The sequence below is a fragment of the Homo sapiens genome, chromosome 7 (genome assembly GCF_000001405.40).
Source record: "Homo sapiens chromosome 7, GRCh38.p14 Primary Assembly".
Classification (NCBI taxonomy): Eukaryota; Metazoa; Chordata; class Mammalia; order Primates; family Hominidae; genus Homo; species Homo sapiens.
Genome location: NC_000007.14, coordinates 131,432,352 through 131,451,882, shown reverse-complemented (window position 1 = coordinate 131,451,882; position 19,531 = coordinate 131,432,352). Strand labels below are relative to the sequence as shown.

Below are 19,531 nucleotides of genomic sequence, written 5' to 3'. Positions count from 1 at the left end.
ATAGAAAACTACAAAACTCTGGTGGTGTGACAGACCATCTTCTACACATAAGTTTCAATTAGTGTTAAATACAGAGCTTACATATGGGGAATCTGCTAAACCCCTTGTGTTCACAGTCTTACTTGCCAAAAGTTTCTCAGAAATAAACTCAAGTTTTAGATATGCTGAATTTTGATGTAATTATGTATGTATTAGACACAATGCTAATAAATCCCTTAAAGCAGCTGCCAATCCATTGATTTAAATTATAATTTTCTTCTGAGGAGAGCATAAAATTGTTACACTGTAGTTTAAAAATAAGCATTAAAGTTTCTTCAGATCTTCAGATGTTAAATCTAAGATGGTACATTCAGATAATTATAAAGAGCAACAACTTAAGATTTTATAGTATCTGACAATACAGAATTATATAAACAGCAGTAATTTTACTATTAGCTATACCATCTCGGTGATCTCAATAGTTCAAACAAATTTACTCTATGAGCTCAAACAATCCCATTTGATACTCACATTGTAAATATAATTTTAATCAAATAAGCCACATTACTGAATCACAGATAAACACAGTAATTATATGTTAAGTCCATCTCAAATTACAGTAATTAACTGTAGTAAAAAATCTTTAGAACAACAGTTAACAAACAACAGAATGATTAATAAGCTACAGAGCATCTACATAATGGATAAAATTGGTGTTTTCTAAGAATATTTTAAAAATGTGGGAATTTAAATAGTATTCTGCCTTCTTAAAAGTACTTTTCACTGCTTACAATAAAAATCTAGTAAGAGAGAAAAAAATGTACTTTTTAAAAGTGAGGTAAAATAATTCTATGGGAGGACAATATAATATACCATGGTTCTGATGTGAGGTTTTCTGAACAGTCTAATTTAGTTCAGTAAAAGACTTTTAGGAGATCTAGAGTACTGAAACCACTGAATGCTCTTTAAGAAATCATGAACAAGTCTGTGTATTTCAGCTGATCTTTGTATAGGTTTTGAAAAGCACAGTCAAGATTTTACAGCCAGATGAATACCTAGAATTGCGTTAACAATGATGGCTAGAGCCACATGTTTTTATATTTCTAACCTGGGCTTAAGGCATTAGAGAATTTTGGGCGACAACGATCTACAAGCTAAGATCTGAGAGGTAAGCAGTACAAGTTAGCTAGATTTTGGAGGGGAGAGGAAAGTGATTCAGGTAGGAGGAATAGCATGGGCAACTCTCAAAGGCAAGTTAAAACACACTATCTATAAAGATTTAATATTCGGTGGTCGTGAAACAGAGTTGGTGGCAAGAAGAGTACAGACACCAAGACTAGGACTGGAGAACTAAAATGGGGCACATCATAAAAGAGTCTGTGAATTATGTTAAGTTTAGACTTAATCCTGAGGGCAGGGAGAAACCATTAAAAGATTTAAAGTGAGGAAGAAAACCCACTAGGTTTGTATTTTTAAAAATATGTTCTTTTCTTCACTAGCACTAATCTAAAGGTAAGGCTGTCACTTTATTTTTCCTCTCTGTGTACAACCATAACTCCATGAAGATAGGGCCCTCATTCACAGTTGTACTCCTAGTGCGTAGCTTATTGTCTGGCACCTAGTAGGTGACCAAAAAATATCTGCTCTATAAATGTTAAGGCATATGGTTCTATTCTTTACTGGTAACACAGAATAGCTGTATCCTGCTTGCAGTGTGGAGAATGGGTTGCAGGGAGGGGTACATAGGGAGAGGAAGTCTAGAGACAGAGGCCAAATAGGTGATGTTAGCCCAAACTAGTTCATAGTGAAGCAGCAATGGGAATAGAGAGAAGATGAGGCAAAATTGGCATGACTTGATGTTAACTGGCTAGATTAGTGAACCTGAGGGTAGCAGTATTAACATCCTCTTGTGAAAATTAAGGCACCCAACAGTAACACCAGTCGAAACTAGAGGGTTAACCCATCTCTACTCCTAGGGTAGCCATGGACAGAGACGCTATTTTCCTTAAAATCTAATTTGGGTCATTTACAAATGTGGAAGCAAAAGCTGAGACATTAGGTAACTTGCTTAAGGTTAACTAAGGACTGAAATAGACTCCGGAGAGCTAGAACAGTGGTTCTCAATCCCAGCCGCATATTAGAATCCTCTAGGAGAGAGAAAGTTGGGGGAGGAGTAAAAGGGACATGGGAAAAAGAATGGGAAGGAGGGAAAAGGAAGAAAGTGAGAGAGGCAGAGATGAGGGGAAAAAAAAACAGAAAAAAAGAGAATAATTTCCATTTCACTCTAATGTGCTAACAGAGTCACTGAGGTTCCTCAATTCCAAGTATAACTGCAACAGTTTTAGGTGGGAAATTTTTCCAAGTAATTCTAACCAGATGCTCAACCCTGCCATAAAAATCCTCAGTAAACAAGCCTTTGAACAATGCAACTCACAGGAACATTGTCAAAATTAACCACTTGGAAAATATACACCTAGACAAAGAAGTGGTATTGTTAAAACTTAGATCAAGACACTGATATTAAACCTTTGAATAATCTATTTTATTCAGAAAAAAAATCCAAACTCCTTGCATTTGTAACAAGGCACTAAATACTCTGACTCTTATCTCCGTAGCTCTAACCTAGTTTCATACCAACTTTTCCAATCCTCAATACGTACCAGTCCCACTATTTCTGAACATCCCAGGTTCCTTCCTGCTTTGGGAACTCTGTACTTGTTCTTCTCTCAGTTCTTCACATGGTTCTTCCTAATTCTCTACTTTTCATCTTAAATCTTAAAGATTACCTCCTCAAAGATGGTTTCCCAACCTACTCTGTTTAAATGAGACTTCCCTTGTTATTCATTATCACGGCATCCAGTGTATTTTATTCACAGTACTTAGAACACAACTGCAGGTCTCTCTCCACTAGAATGTGAGTCCTCTAAGGGAAAGGATCTTATCCTCCAGGTCCATAGATGAATCCCAAGTGCCTAAAATAATCTTGGGCCTACAGAAGACAATGAACTAAGTGGGGAGGGAAGGAGGAAGGGAGAGGGACAAACTTAGATGCTAGTAGATGGTCAACAAATATTATTAATGAATTTATTTGCATTGTGGGAAAATTCAATTGTGTAAACCAATTACACACTGAACACACACAGTAAAAAATGGTGATTTTGATTTTAGAAAAATTGATTATAGCAGTAATCAAACAATGAATCCATTTGTCTTTTCTAATAACATCTCCAGTTCACATTAATAAAACCACAATAATGGAAAAAATCCCACAATTTAATGTAAATTTTAAAATAGAATACAAACTTGTATCAACTTTTATACAATAAATAAGTTTTAAAAAGACTAGACAGAAATATATCAAAATTTTAACAAGTTATCTCTGGACAGTTTGACATATTTTCTTTTTTGCATCTTATTTTTCAAATTCTCTACAATGAGCATATTTTTACTTTTATGACCACAACAAAATTAAATAAAAAGAATAATTGCCACACTGCTCTAAAGCTAGCCATAACCATGATTGAAGAATAATTGTCGATACTGTACATTACTACATAATTTTAACTCATTAAAAAATTGTTTTGAATGACAGTCATTAAAGCCTACTTGTCATGGTGAATTTTTATTTTACTAGTTCTCTGTCACTATCACGCATTGCCACTTTTTTTTCTTTTTTGAGACAGAGTCTCGCTCTGTCGCCCAGGGTGGAGTGCAGTGGCGTGATATCGGCTCACTGCAAGCTCCACCTCCCGGGTTCACGCCATTCTCCTGCCTCAGCCTCCCGAGTAGCTGGGACTACAGGCGCCCGCCACCACGCCCAGCTAATTTTTTGTATTTTTAGTATAGATGGGGTTTCACCACGTTAGCCAGGATGGTCTCGATCTCCTGACCTCGTGATCCACCTGTCTTGGCCTCCCAAACTGCTGGGATTACAGGTGTAAGCCACCTCACGTGGCCGCCACTTTTTTCTTTTAATCTTGGGCAGTAGTTTAGCATGGCAGAAACACCTTCCTTGCACTCAAACTTCTAAATCCCAGCTCTGTCATTACGTAGTTGTGTAACTGTTTTCATCTTGTACATTAGAATAATACCACCAATTAAAGATATTCTGGTATATGGTAGGGTCTAAATAAAGAGTAGTAATTATTATCCATGGGAATACATTACCTACTAGCTAGATTATAAGCACTTTGAGAGACTGTGATTGCCTTGTATCCACTGTGTCCGTAGTCTAGCACTGAGTCAGCATGCCATAATTTTCAACATATTGTCATATCAATTACTATCTTCACTACCTTTTTCAGGGAGACCCATCTTAGGATTGTAGAAGGAGTATTACCTCTCTCCTGCTATTTTATTTTTATTTTATAGAGATGAGGGCTAACTATGCTGCCCAGGCTAGTCTCAAACTCCTGGGCTCAAGCAGTCCTCTCACCTTAGCCTCCCAAAGTGCTGGGATTAAAGACATGAGCCACTGCGCCTGACCCTCCTAGTTATTTTAATGGTAAGTTAGAATAACTCTTAAAAGCCAGAGAAAGTCAAATATTAAATCATATAGCTCTACACTCTCCTATGGCAACAGTAAATAAATGAGTAAATAAGACAATTTTAGATAGGGTAAATAATGTTATTACCTATTCAGGTCCATATTTCTAAATCACATGCTAAGCTGCTATTTTAGACATTACCTACTAATTTCCTGTTGTAATAGACGAAGATGTTTACTACACTTACACTATCTTCCCACTATATTTCATCCCAATTTTTGGTTAAACTGGCTGTAGTTCTGCATTATGATTAGGGAAATACTGCTTACTGTAAAGCCAAGAAATTTACTGTGATAATGTCTCCTTTTTTATAAAAAGTTTCGCTTTTCCTGTTGTGTCCCTATCCTTCGTTTTTTACATTAGATGCTATTTATACTCATCAACAGATTTTTCTTCCAAATGCTTAACATATCTATTGAGTCTACTTTTATCTGGAAACCTCCTTTTTGTAGAGACAGGGTCTTGCTTTGTTGCTCAGGCTGGTCCTAAACTCCTAGATTCAAGCAATCCTCCCATGTCCGTCTCTGGACTAGCTGGAATTACAGGCATATGCGACTGTGCCTTGCCTATCTTTTGTTTTTTTGTTTGTTTGTTTTAAAACAAGTTTTTCTTCTTAAATGTGAACAAATATTTTAATTTAAAAATATTTTTGTTGTTTTTGTTTTAAAGGAAGCTTGTATTAATCAATAAAATATCCAGAAACAATGTCTGTGAAACAAGTGCTTTTATCCACATTTGGCAAAAGAGCCAATAATAAAAACACCAATCTATAAGCAACAGCTAAAAAGAAAAGCAGCTGATTTAATTTCTCACTCTATTGTTCAAATTAGCATTTTAAACCATTGCACCTTAATTAAAGCCACTCTTTTAGGTACAATAATCACAGGCAAAGCAACTACTATGTAGGGTAACTATAAATGATCAAAACAGGACACTTTTGAAAATGAATGGAGCACTATTAATAATTATGCCAGGGCAATATGCATAATCTAAGCAAACCAGCCATTCCACTACTAATAACCTCCTAGATGCTGAGCTTTTAAACTTACAAGGTGTTACCAATCCCATGAAGTTCCCCCCTTAAGACACACACCCTACTATGCTAGTGCCTAATATAAAGATCACTACAGTGAAAATAGAAGATGAAAAAAATTAGCAAACACAGAATAAAAAGTTTTTAAGATATTGATTCTTCCTACCCCGCCCCCCAACAAGCACACACACAATTCATTTAGAAATTCACATATTTTCTGCTTGAAGGAAATAGTAATTCCCATATTTAAAAATAGATAGAACTGAATAAGCTGGTAGAATTTTCTTTCTCTTACTTGGAATTACTCAATTAAAGAAATAAAGAAAGGGTGAAAAATGATTAGAAAGAAAAGAGAATGAACTGCAGTTTTCTACCTAAAGTAGTTAAGACATGAGAGAAGAAATCACTCAATGCCCTTACCCATCCCAGAGTCTTTCTTGGTGCCATCTGATATTATGTCTACATGATCAGAGTCCACATCATAACTAAAGAAATCATTCAAATAGGTCTTTGATCGCTGGCCACCAAATACATATAAGCAACGATTTTTCTGAAAAAGAAGAAAAAAAAAAAGAAAGGAGTAACTTATCACTTCCATGAAGAACTCAGAATGATCCTTTAAAAACTTAAACCTCTACAAAAGTAATTTTATAACAGATCCCAATGGAGTACTATGCTGGAATAAAAGGGAAAGAGGAAGCTCTCTACATATTGCTAAAAGGGGATCTCTAGGACATCCTGTTAAAGAAGAAAAGCAAGGTGCAGAATAATATATACAGGTTCCTTCTTCCTTTGTGTAGGAATGGAGAAGAAGGAATATCTGTGCATCAGACAAAAAGAGAGGGAGAGAGGGAAAGAGAATGTGAGAGAGGGGAAAAGTGAGAGAGAGAGCACGCAAGCGAGAGCGAGAATAGAGATTGCTTCTTTTTTTGAAAAACAAAGGAAGGATAAACCAAAACCTAATAAAAGACAGTTACCTATAGTGGCAGGAACAGAGCAGGAAGACCTCTCCAAAAATAATACCTTGATGTATGGTTTTGACTTTAGAACAATGTATATGCTTTTATTTAATTAGAAGACAAAATTAACTCAAAAAAAAAATCTAAAATTTGGGCAAAAAAAATCCAACAAATAAACCTATCTGTATATAAAGATATACTCAGACACAGAAATAGTATTTCTAATGATTTTAATACATACTTTTTGACTACCCATCCCTAGAAGTCTAAATCCTAAACAGAAAAATAATCAGAAAGCAACGTTAAACAGCACTCAGTGATTCTGTTGTTAGTTTTCTTTACTGTGAAAGCTATTATAGACAGACAAAGCAACTAATGTTATGAAGCAGGATTTTAACCTTAAAAGACACAAAAATAGGCCAGGCATGGTGGCTCACACCTGTAGTCCTAGCATTTGGGCAGGCCAAGGTGAGAGGATTGCTTGAGACAGCCTGGGCAACACAGCAAGGCCCTGTCTCCTACTTCCACTTCCACTTCCACTTCTACTACTACTACTACTACTACTACTACTACTACTACTACTACTACTACTACTACTACTTCTTCTACTACTACTACTACTACTACTACTACTACTACTACTACTCAAAACCCAGGTGTGGTGGTACACACCTGTAGTTTTAGCTACTTGGGGGGCTAAGGTGAGAGGATCATTTGAGCCCTGACATTCAAGGCTGTAGTGAGCTACGATCTGCGCTCCAGTCGGGGTAAAAAGAAAAGATATAAAGTTACAAAATAGAAGACATTAAGATAAAAAATATTTTATTTGAATCAGACATATCAGTATGAATTCACAATTTAATTTTTCTCTTACAAAAAAAGATACATAAATATGTTGTGGGGGGTGCTCCTACTAGCCAAAGAGAAAAATTTGAGCATCAAGAAAGTGGCCAGGTACAGTGGCTCATGCCTGTAATCCCAACACCGCAGAAGGCAGAGGCGGGTGGATCACCTGAGGTCAGGAGTTCAAGACCAGCCTGGCCAACATGGTGAAACCCTGTCTTTACTAAATACAAAAAATTAGCCGGGCGTGGTGGTGCATGCCTGTAATCCCAGCTACTTGGGAGGCTGGGACTACAGGCACAGGTCACCACGCCAGGCTAATTTTTGTATTTTTACTGGGGATGGGGTTTCGCCATGTTGGCCAGGCTCGTCTCAAACTTCTGGAATCAAGTGATCCACTGCTCCTGACCATTGCTGATACATTTAAATTCTAATTCTATAAAATCAAATCTTAAATTCTTTGTACTTAATGGAGAATAGCAGAAGGGAAAATAAGAACAGAGTAAGAAATTGTCCTTCTAATTACTAAGAGACGTAAGTGGAAAGGCATAAGAAAGGAACATAGCTACAAAATCTACATAAGCAGTGAAATTAGTCATAAGATTGCCCAGGTTGGTAGCCAGGTAGTAACTATTTAGGAATTACCAGGTTGATGGGAAGAGTCTCATAATTAGCAAACAGTTCACTGTTAAAGAAGTTTTGTCTTTCTCTGTCATTGCTACACTAATCTCTTCCTAAAGAATTAGATTTCACCACTTCTTTTCCTATCTAGATATACATGACAAAATAACATTTACGCAATGTACGGAATGTTCTTACTGAGTGGAATAACATGCAGTGTCCTATTCGAGACTGGATGTCCTCAGGCCCAGCATTACAGGAGTCCTCTCGAAGAAGTTTCCAGGTTTGACATTGACAGTTGAAAGCAAACAAGCCACTGAATTGTGGTTCACTGGCTCTGCTGTCATCTACGCTGCCATTACAAGTCAAAATTCTACCACCAAAAGTGTAGATCATATGTTTTTCTGAGTCCATACACATCTATCAGAACAAGGCAACAGATTGAATAGTTTTAGTTTGTTCCTGTCATATGTGCTAAAACAAAACCAACATGTACAGTTTTACATTCTCAAAAAAACCCTAAACTTTGTCCCTAATGACACTAAATACCACCCCTGATTATCATATGCAAGTTTCTAAATAATTTTTCAAGTTGTCATTTTTGTCAGTGAGGGTAAAAACATGTTGGAATAAAGAGCTTTCTGCTTTCTTGAAATTGCATAATTTTTATCAAAATCAACCAATGATACATGAGGCGTTGATTTATATGTAAGAGTGAATACTTATATTCTGGGTGAATAGTGATCATACCCTCCTTATAAAAATTCCCTTCTTTCATTCTAGGCAAGCATCCTATTAATATTACTACCATTTACTAAGCGATCAGATATGCAAATAAGAGTGGTGAAGCTAAATTCACCTCTCTGCATTTATTTTTATAAAACCCTTCAGATTATGTTACAAAACAGTAAAACAAACAAACAAAAGGACATTTACAACAATCAAGTCTCCAGACTGACTTCTACAATGTGAAGAACTCTGCCTACTTTTAACATAGCACTATTTAATTTTCTTTGAATTAAGCTATACACTTCATGTTTAAAAGTCAAGCTTTATTCTTCCATTCTTTCAACTCAAGATTATAACTTTTCATAAAAATGTGTGAGAAAACAGCCATTTGTCACGAGACAATAAGAATCAAATTCTGTTTCAAATAACACATAAATCCAAGTTGGGAATTAGCTGTTGAACGTAAGTGGCATTTACATAAAGAATAAATTGTGTACACAAAACATCTATGTTTTGCTAAAATAAAACCCAACCATTTGATGTTCAATTCTCCTACCAGATTACTTCTGCTATTTATGTATTTTTTTAAACAAAAGGCTATTTTCATAATTTGTTTTTTTTTCCTAGACAGAATTTCACTCTTGTTGCCCAGGCTAGAGTGCAACAGCATGAGCTTGGCTCACCACAACCTCTGCCTCCCAGGTTCAAGCAATTCTCCTGCCTCAGCCTCCCGGGTAGCTGGGATTACCAGCATATGCCACCACGCCAGGATAATTTTGTATTTTTAGTAGAGATGGTGTTACTCCATGTTGGTCAGGCTGGTCTTGAACTCTCGACCTCAGGTGATCCGCCTGCCTCGGCCTCCCAAAGTGCTGGGATTACAGGCATGAGCCACCGTGCCTGGCTATTTTCATAATTTTAAATGTTGTTTTAAAAAACTGTAGTTATTATTAAAAAGATTCTAACATCTCCTAATTTTTATCTACCACTAAAAAGATCTACCTCATTAGCCATTTCCCAGGTTTCTCAAAGACTTCCATAAATTAAGATGAAAATCTATTCCCCAAGGGTGAAATCTTGGTAAACATGGTTGAAAAACAAAGATGTCTGGAAGTATTCCTATTTTTTAAAATGATCATACAGTTAAAATCAGCACACTGCTGAAAACAACTCAGTTTGGCCCCATCCACTGCCTCCGTTGAGGGCTCCACTGGAGCTGGGTCACATTTCCGTTTCTGAAGTACTTCAGACTCAATCACTCCAAATATCTGGGAACTATGCTGAAAATCTTTAGGGACTCACATTAAATGAGTCTATTTCCATTTTTTATTAACTCACAGATTCATACTAATGGCCAATCTTTGTTACCAACCCCCTACCTTTCTACTTCGTATGGCTACAAAGAGTTTCTTTCTTTTTGAGAATATTCAAGCTTAATTTTGATGTGGTTTATTCTCATTTGTTTGCAGGGCTGAAGTATAAACATCTTTATCTTGGTAGTTCTTCCTAGCATACCAGTTTAAACCAAGAAACCTTTTAATATTCGATTTCCACGCTTTTGATTTGTTTTGTCATTTTTACTCTCCGAAAAAATTTCTGAAAAGCTAGTAAACTTATTAAACTCTGTGTGATAATGTCTTTTCCATCAAAGACTTAAAAAAATCTTTAAAGCCAAAAGTTTAAAGACTATTCATTTATTATGTCAGGAGTTAGATATTTAATTTTTAAAATCAAAATAGTGGATAACCACTTATTTTCCTGGGAAAAATTATTTTTTGAACCTGAAAATGACTTTATTTTACTCATCACAGGAATACAAGATTGGTAAGGGTTTGGCTGGGTTCAAAATAATCTTCTCCTCACAAAATTTGAAGATATTGCTATAAAGGCTTCTAAGTATCCAATGTTGTCCAACCTACCACCCTCCCTTCTACAAACCTCCAAAAATGCCTCATGACCCAGTGAGAATATCAATGAGCTGAGATCTTCAATTCTTCAACTGAAGTTTTTCCTGCTACTTCTTGGCTAGCTCACTTTCCATTTTCTAGTAATTTCCACAAAAACTGATTATACTTGAAGGACAGTTTGGCTAGATATAAAATTCTTGGCTCATACTGTCTTTTCTTGAATGTCTTCTAGATGTTGCTCTATTATCTCTTGGCACTGAAAGTAGATGTAGAGAAATCTGATACCAGTCTCATTTTAGTTCTCTTATAGGTGACTTGATCATTTTGTCTACTTGCTATAAAATGATCTCTTATCTTTTATAGTCAGTGTTATTAATATATGTCTTAGAGTTAAGTATTTGGGTCAACTTTTTCTGAATATAGTATGCCCATTTGACATGCGGAGTAAAATCTTTCTTCAGGAAAATGTTCCTGAATTCAATTGATAAATATTTGTTTTTTCCATTGTTTTGGCTTTCTTCTTTAAAGTCTCCAGTTATATATATATATGTTGGCTCTCCTCTGCCTACCTTCCCTGGTTAATCATTTTTACCTCTTTGTTTTATCTTATTCCTATGCTATATGATCATTACCTATTCTTCTTTACGCTCTTTGTAGATAAGTCTTCATTTCTGAAAGGGGTAATGTACTGGGATATAACTTTCATTTATTGTTATTTTTCTTTTTATTGTTTTTCTTTAGAATGTCTCTCTAAAGCTTTGTTATTTATTGCTTTTTAGTTTTTCATATGTAATTGAGTTGAATTTCCCTGGACCAGATAACTTCACAGAGGATTTCTATAGAAGGTGGATGTTCTCGCTCAAGAACTCCTTCCTCTGTTGCTACTGAATTGAATGGCTCCTTCAAAATATGGCACTTCCGGTGAAGCCATACCTTCTCTAATTCTATGACTCTCATCTGGCTTACAGGGCTGATCTCAAGCTTTGAGCTCCCCAGGTTTCTTACTGGCCATTGCAAAAGGAGCCATCATTCCCACTGTGTTTCCTTCACTTTTACAAAATAATGCTTTCTGACACATATCACCTCTGGATATTTCTGGGTACTTTACACATGTTAATTCACTGATTCTTCTAGTGGCTGCCCTGGGTGCAATTTGTGCCCTGTCCCTGACACTTCTCACTGTGACATACAACTGCTAGGCTCCCTTTGCTTTCCCAGGTCTCCCTATTATACTGTTGTGGGCTTCAACAAAAGTTCTGAGTATTTTAGTTGTTTCTGGCTAAACTTACAAGGCATTGGGAGTTATAGGTTTACTCTAGCTCTTGGTTTTGCTGAGAGAGAGAGACTGTGTGTGTGTGTGTGTGTGTGTGTGTGTGTGTGTGTGTGTGTGTGTGTGTGTTTAAATCTTTTTGCTTGATTACCATTATTCCTGGAAAACCACACAAAGCAACATCAAGGAAAGCTTGAGAACTAAACCGCCACTATGTTCTTAAGAAATCCAGATGTCTTTAAATTTTATTTTTTAAATATGTTAAAATTAAAAATGGCAAATAGCTTTTAAGCATGTTTGTATCGTATAGCTTTCTCATATTTTTATCAAATTTGAACATTGTGTTAAATCCTAAATTGTCATGAACACCACAAGCTATTTTTGGAGTGTCATAAACACTACAAGTGTAAGTTCTAACTTATAGCTTTATTTGTATGAAATAGAATAGCAAATGCAGGATTATACAGATTACTTGCTCACTATTACAGGGATAGTTGTTGGCTGAATTAGTACTGAAATCCTTGTTTCTTCACCCCCAGTGTTCTGCTGTACCATCTAACCAGTTGAAAACCATGCATTATTTAACAGCACCCAGCTTTCAAGAAACATCCTATTTTATAAAAGTCAAGAGAAACAAAGGCCACACACAAGAACTCTCTATGTGCTACTCCTAAGCTATTCTTTTTTCAACCTGTAAAAAAAAAAAGACATCAGCATCTTTTGTAAAAGAAATACGTAACCATTTGGGAACAAGAGAATAAATTGTTCCCTAACAATATTATCTGCTGATGTTTTTAAAAGATCAGAACCAGCCTAACTTTTCTTGGCATGCTTATTTTCCACGTGAAGAACATTGAGGGTGTCAGCAGGGATGTGCATAGCTCTGTGGAGCTCAGTTAAATAGAGCCAACAGAAGTTCCAAATTTAAGCTGGGGAGTATTTCCAAGAATACTAGTTTTGATTTTCTACCTACCACTTAACTTCACAGGCATAACTCACTCTTCCTCTCCTTACCATTCTCCTATAACAATTATATGTTAATAGAAATATGGCAATAGGATAGTTTAAAAGCAAATAATTAACAAAAATCTATAAAGACACAATAAATAAAGACCCTGGGTTCTATGTCCTAGATAAGATTTTAGGTCTCACTTAAGTTTTGTCATAATTCTAGCACCACCTCCCATTTCCCAAATACTAGATAATTTATGTTCATCAATACAGAGTTATAGATTTTTGAAGTCTTTTTCTCCTCAATACATCAAAAAAAACTTTGGACATGGGTTGAGCCAGGTAAAAACTTGCTTATGGAATTCAAAATGGTTACTGTCTTTTTTGACCTACATTGAATTTGTATGGAATAAGTATTCAAAGACAGGTAACAATGATAATGACAATGATGGGGCTAATGAGAGCTACATGTATATTAATATTAAAATGGCTTACAATGAGGCTATGTTCAGTCTTCTAGTCTACAACATTATTGTATAATTTCTATTGGTGCTGAGTTTAATCTAGTATGTCAAATTCCCCTCTAGGTTTATACAATTTTGTGACTATAAACAAAACAAAATATATTTCACTCTAACTGGAAGAAAAGCTCTAGATTTCACCTAGTTCATTATAAAGTGATTTCCATTTCTCACAGGAATGTAGAATAAGAAATATAATTAAAAGGGTAAGTTGTTATTGTTGATTTATGCATATGTATTATAAAACTAAATTTGTTTTTCCTAATATTGCTCCATCTACTCGCTAAAGTTTCTATAAATCAACAGTCTATGTCCTGAGATCTTCATATTCTACCCTGCAACAAACAAGAGAAAAAAATTTAAAGAATAACTTTATACCTACTGAAACAACAATTATTACTGTCAATAGATATTTGTCATGGAAAGCACTACTGGACAACTCAGCATAACATCTAACATAAACTCTAATTGCAAGAATCACTAAGCACTGATTAATTCCATCATATATTTAACTGTGCATCAAACCTGATGATCAAACACCAATTTCGGCCCTCCATCAGCAGCAGTATCCTCACTTAGTAACATCCATGTGTTTGTATCAATGTCATAACGATAGAAGTCACTTTTCAGAGATTTGCTGTTCCTCACAGAGGAATCCAAGTAACGCCCCAATGTGTAGATTTGCCTCCGTTGAATATCAATGCACATTTTATGACACGATCTGGCACTAGGACCATTCTGTAGAGAGAGAGAGAAAATAAATAAATAAACAAATAAAGAGCAAAAAAAAATCAAAGAACAAATAATAGAAAAATTAAACGTCATTTTTTATTACCTTTCATTAAAAGGTTTCTCAGAAACTCACATCAAGTCAACCAATATGAGTCCAACACTAGGCTTAACTCTCTAAAGGAAAGCAAAAGCAGTAAGCAGTAGGAGACAGAAATCTTACCTTAGAAATGCTTAAAATCTACCAGGAAAGATGAGATGAACTACACTGCAGCTTATGGCACTCTGTTTATAACATCTATACGGTTTCTACCATATACTGCACTGCATTTTAGTCATTTGTGCAGAGTTCAATTCTCTATTACATGACAATCTACTTTAAGACATGTTTGGTCTTTATGAACATTTTTGTATTTCTCATCAGAATCTAGCACAAAAGAGGTACTCCAAGAATATTTAGAATCAGTGAATTTCAAAATTAGAAGAAACATCAATAAAATCTCTAGTTTAATCACTTGGACACAGGGCAGGGAACATCACACACCAGGGACTGTCGAGGGGTGGGGGTCAGGGGGAGGGATAGCATTAGGAGAAATACCTAATGTAAATGATGAGTTGATGGGTGCAGCAAACCAACATGGCACATGTATACCTATCTATCAAACCTTCACATTGTGCACAGGTACCCTAGAACTTAAGAGTATAATAAAAATAAAAAATAAAAAAAATAAAATCTCTAGTTTTCTCCTTTTAAAGAGGAGAAAATACAAGCCTAGCAAGGAAATATAAGACCAGGATGATACCTTTAATAAGCTAGTGACAGAAACTAATAAGAATCCAAGTCTATCACTTCTTTATCCATCCTTTACATTGCAAAATTAATTTTCCTGATTGAATAAATAGCACAGCTACAGTAAATAAATAGGGAATAATATTAAGAACAGTATATTATCAATAAATTAATTAGCTGGTATCACTTGTATCACAGGACCCAATAAAACATAAAAAATATTGTAGTATAGTCAAAAGGGTTCATCGGGGAAAAAGAACTTCAATTGCATAGGGTTTAATTAGCTGAAAGGGGGAAAGGAAAGGAAACTAATGTTTGTTAAACAACTCCCAAGTTCTGTTTACACTATTACTGTGTATGTGTGTGTTCCATTTAATCCTTATAACAACCCCATATGGAAATATTATCACCATTTCACAGAGTCCACCGTCACAAAACTAGGAAGTAAGATAGCAAATCTACGCCCTTGTGTACCAGAGCCAAAAACTGGGCTCTTTCACAATTTCAGATTATTTTTTCTAGAAGAAAAACAAAGGCAAAAATATACTTGTTAATACAGTCTATGCAGTTATGACTGAGATGAAGAGTTCTTCCTGCAGAAATAACAGAATTGATGTATAAAGTGGACACAGAAAGCCTGATGAATGACTGACAGAGGAGACAATTTATGATCTTGTAGGCAATAAAGAACTACTGGTGGTTTCTAAAGCAAGATATAACATAAAAAGGCAGTATTCTAAGAAGAGTAATCTAGCAGTATTAATTAAGTGAAATGAAGGAATATTAGGCAGGAAGAACAGTATTTTGACAATGAAGTTGATGTGAATGTACACTTTAATATTCACACTAATTATTTTCAAACTTATTTTAAAATATTTTTTGTCAAAGAATATCTTCAGCAAATAAGGTGAAAATTTGATTTAAGAAAGGATTGCCTCCATAAATAATCTCAAAAACAAAGACGGAGTAACATATAATAAATCTATGCCATAATGCATAGAGTGTAAAACTTGAAATTTTAATAAGAGAATAATAGAACTTCTTGCTTCAACTAAATTAGCACAAATAATATTAAAATGATGACCAAGTTATATGCCAAGAAAAAAGAAATAAAGATAAATCAATAGAATAGAAAACATGAAAAAAAATAGAGAAAATTAACAAAGTTGGTTCTTTGAAAGACTGATAGAATTATAAACCACTGGCAGACTAATTTTTTACAAAGGGAGGGAAAATACAAATTGCCAGTACCAGAAATGAAAGCAAGATTAACACTACAGACTTCCTAGAAATGAAAAGAGAGAGAATACTATCAAAAACATAGGTAAAATCTGACAATGTAGATAAAACAGACATAATTTGTTAAAAAACCTAACTTACCAAGATGACATGAGATGAAAGAGGAAAATCTGAAGGAATTACACATACTGAAAAACTGAATTCATAATTGCCCACATATCTACACTGGTAAATTATATCAAGCACTTAAGGAAAAAATGGTATCAGTTTTAGACAAAATTTTTCAGAAAATCAAGGGAAAAAAAAACTCTACTGTTTATCCACATTCTCTTCCATTCCTAGCTTATTTTATGAGGCCAACATAACACTGAAACCAAATAATATTACAAAGGAGAAGGAAGAGAAGGGGAAGAAGGAGGAAGAAATGGGGAAGAGGTGGAGAAATCATTTACAGATGGCTAGGACCCCTTATGAACATAGACAAAACTAATCTTTAACAAAATATTACCAAACAGCAGTAGCAATATATGAAAAGAATATTTTACAACAAAAAGGTATTTATCCCAGGAATGTAAAGTTGATTTTACATCTGAAAATCAATCAGGATAATCTGACATATTAACAGAATAAAGAAGAAAAAACACAATTACATCAATACATATGTAAAAAGAGCATTTGGTAAAATTCATCACCTATTCATGATCAAAACTCATAGCAAAATAGGAATAGAAAGACTTTCAATCTGATAACATGTACGAAATTTAATTTTTCTTAATGATGACATACTGAACACTCTCCTGTTTAGATATGAAACAAGACAGGGATGTCTTTTCTCACCACTTATATTTAACATTGCTCTGGAAGTTCAAGTCAGTGCAATAAGGAAGGCATTAAAAAATAAAATAAAGGCTGGGCCTGGTGGCTCATGCCTGTAACCCCATCACTTTGGGAGGCCAAGGTGGGAGGATTCGTTGAGTTAAGGAGTTCAAGACTCCTCTGCATGTTCAACATACAGAGATCCTATCTCTACACATAATTTAAAAATTAGCTGGGCATGGAGGCACGCGCCTGTGGTCCCAGCTACTGGGGAGACTGAGGTAGAAGGATTGCTTGAGCCCAGAAGGTCGAGGCTGCAGCAAGCCATGATCATGTCACTGCACTCCAGCATGGGCAACAGAAAGACTCTGTCTCAAACAAATAAACAAAAAATAAAATAAAATAATGAAGGAAAAGAGAACAGAAAGAAGAAAAATGACTGCTTCTTTAAAATACTCTAAGAAATAAAAAAGAAGCTATTAGAAATAAGTAGACTTAAAGTGACATGATACAAAGGCAATATTAACAAACCAATTGTATTTCTCTATATTACCAGCCAACAAATGGAAAGTAAAAGATTTTTAAATTCCATTATAATAGCACAAAAAGCAAAATACACTGATATCAAGTTAACGAAAATATCATAGACCTCTTAAACTGAAAACTCTTAAGAGTGCTGAGAGATAATGAAGACTAAAATAAATGGAGACTAAACCATGTTCATGGTGTAGAAAGATTCAATATCATTAAAACACCAATTTGCAGCCAGGTGCAGTGGCTCATGCCTGTAATCCCAGCACTTTGAGAAGTTGAGGTGGGTGGATCACCTGAGGTCAGGATTTCGAGACCAGCCTGGCCAACATGGTGAAACCTCATCTCTACTAAAAATACAAAAATTAGCCAGGTGGGTCTCAGCTACTCGGTGTAGTCTCAGCTACTCGGGAGGCTGAGGTAGGAGAATCACTTGAACCTGGGAGAAGGGGGTTGCAGTGAGCCGAGATCGCATCATTGCACTCTGGCCTAGGCAACAAGAGCAAAACTCTGTCTCAAAAAAAAAAAAAAAAAATTCAAACGACAAAATGAAACCCACCAATTTGCTCCAAATTAATATATAGATTTATCATATTCCCATCATAATCCCAACAGTTCTAGAAATTGGTGATTCTAAAATTTATATATTACCTGACTTCATGAATTACTATAAAGCTACAGTAATCGAGGGAGTGTCATATTGGTTAAGAAGAGACCAAAATATAATAGAACAGAACAGAGTACAAAAAGAGATATATACTTACATGATCAATTGATTTTTGGCCAAGGTGCCAAAGCAAATCAATGGGCCAAGAAGATAGGGAGTAACCAGAAATCTCATACATTGCAGGCAAAGTATAAAATGGTATAACCATTTTGGGAAAAGCTTTAAGTTTCATTAATGGATGATAAAAGGGTGAGAGTTTGATGAGTAATGGCATATTTTCATAATCTTGAAATGTCTCCATATAAATTACTTATTAATTATAAATTAGACAAATCTGGTGGGCATCTCCTTAACCAAGTGATTGAAGCTAATATCAGACAAACTGATGTAATGTGTCTCCTGATATGATATATGGAGGAGATGCTAATGTGATCTATGGGTTATTCTTGCTAAAAATATGTCATCTAAATCCAATCCTAAGAAAACATACAAACCCAGTTGAAGGATACTCTAAAAAACAACTGCCCTGTACTCTTTAAAAATCATCAAAGTCAAGAAAGACAAAGAAAGTTTAGGGAACTATTCTAGACTAAAGATGACTAAAGAAGCATGACACCAAAAAGCAATACATGATCATGGTCTAAATTCTGGGCTGGGGTTGCAGAGTGACAAGGGATGCCTATAAAAAACATTACTGGGGCATTATTGGGATAATTGTCTATATCTGAATAGGAACTGTGGATTAGATTAAAGCAGCAGTTCTCAGTGTGGTCTGGGGTCTCCTAGGTACTTCAAGGGAGTCTATAAGGTCAAAGTTATTTTTACATGACTAACAAAAAAATTTGTCTTTTCACTCTTATTCTCTTATGAGTATATGTGAACATTTCCAGAGGCTACATGACTTTCTGATACAGCAACTGAATAAAGAAGCATATGAATCCAGATGTCTTTTATTGAGCCAAACATTAAAGAGATTTAGAAAACTATACAAAAATGCCACTTGAGGGCCAGGCGCGGTGGCTCATGCCTGCAATCCCAGCACTTTCGGAGGCCGAGGCCAGTGGATTACGAGGTCAAGAGATCGAGACCATCCTGGTCAACATGATGAAACCCTGTCTCTACTAAAAATACAAAAATTAGCCAGGCGTGGTGGCAGGCACCTGTAATCCCAGCTACTCGGGAGGCTGAGGCAGGAGAATTGCTTGAACCCGGGAGGCGGAGGTTTTTATGAGTCTATTAATTAACTATAATAAATCTGAGCTCCAGTACTGAATCACCACTTTACTCATCTGTACTGACTTTGAACTAACAGAAAGTGTTCTCATCAAAATAATCTCTATATTTTTCCAGCATGAGTTTTAAAATAATTACTTATTGCATTATAAATATTACTTACAAC

General features: G+C 35.3%; 1 protein-coding gene across 7 annotated transcripts in view, besides 1 other annotated feature; it reads right to left on the bottom strand.

Annotated features, from left to right (window-relative positions):
• The window catches only part of MKLN1 (muskelin 1), a 386,539-nt gene that overhangs the window by 44,750 nt on the left and 322,258 nt on the right, over positions 1–19,531 (bottom strand). For 6 of the 7 annotated variants that reach the window (NM_001145354.2, XM_047420401.1, NM_001321316.2 and 3 more), the window contains 3 exons: positions 13,886–14,098; positions 8,181–8,402; positions 5,980–6,109 (listed from right to left, as the gene is read on the bottom strand). In NM_001145354.2, coding sequence (NP_001138826.1) covers positions 5,980–6,109; positions 8,181–8,402; positions 13,886–14,098 — 565 coding nt within the window. The remainder of the gene's footprint in view (positions 1–5,979; positions 6,110–8,180; positions 8,403–13,885; positions 14,099–19,531) is intronic. The other variant, XM_011516224.4, reaches the window with a different exon arrangement.
• Positions 12,381–12,882: an enhancer, noted in NCBI's record as "NANOG hESC enhancer chr7:131123760-131124261 (GRCh37/hg19 assembly coordinates)". NCBI's record gives its function as "activates a minimal SCP1, AML or CMV promoter by ChIP-STARR-seq in primed H9 embryonic stem cells {active_cell/tissue: H9 hESC(primed)}" and the evidence as "EXISTENCE:reporter gene assay evidence [ECO:0000049][PMID:30033119]".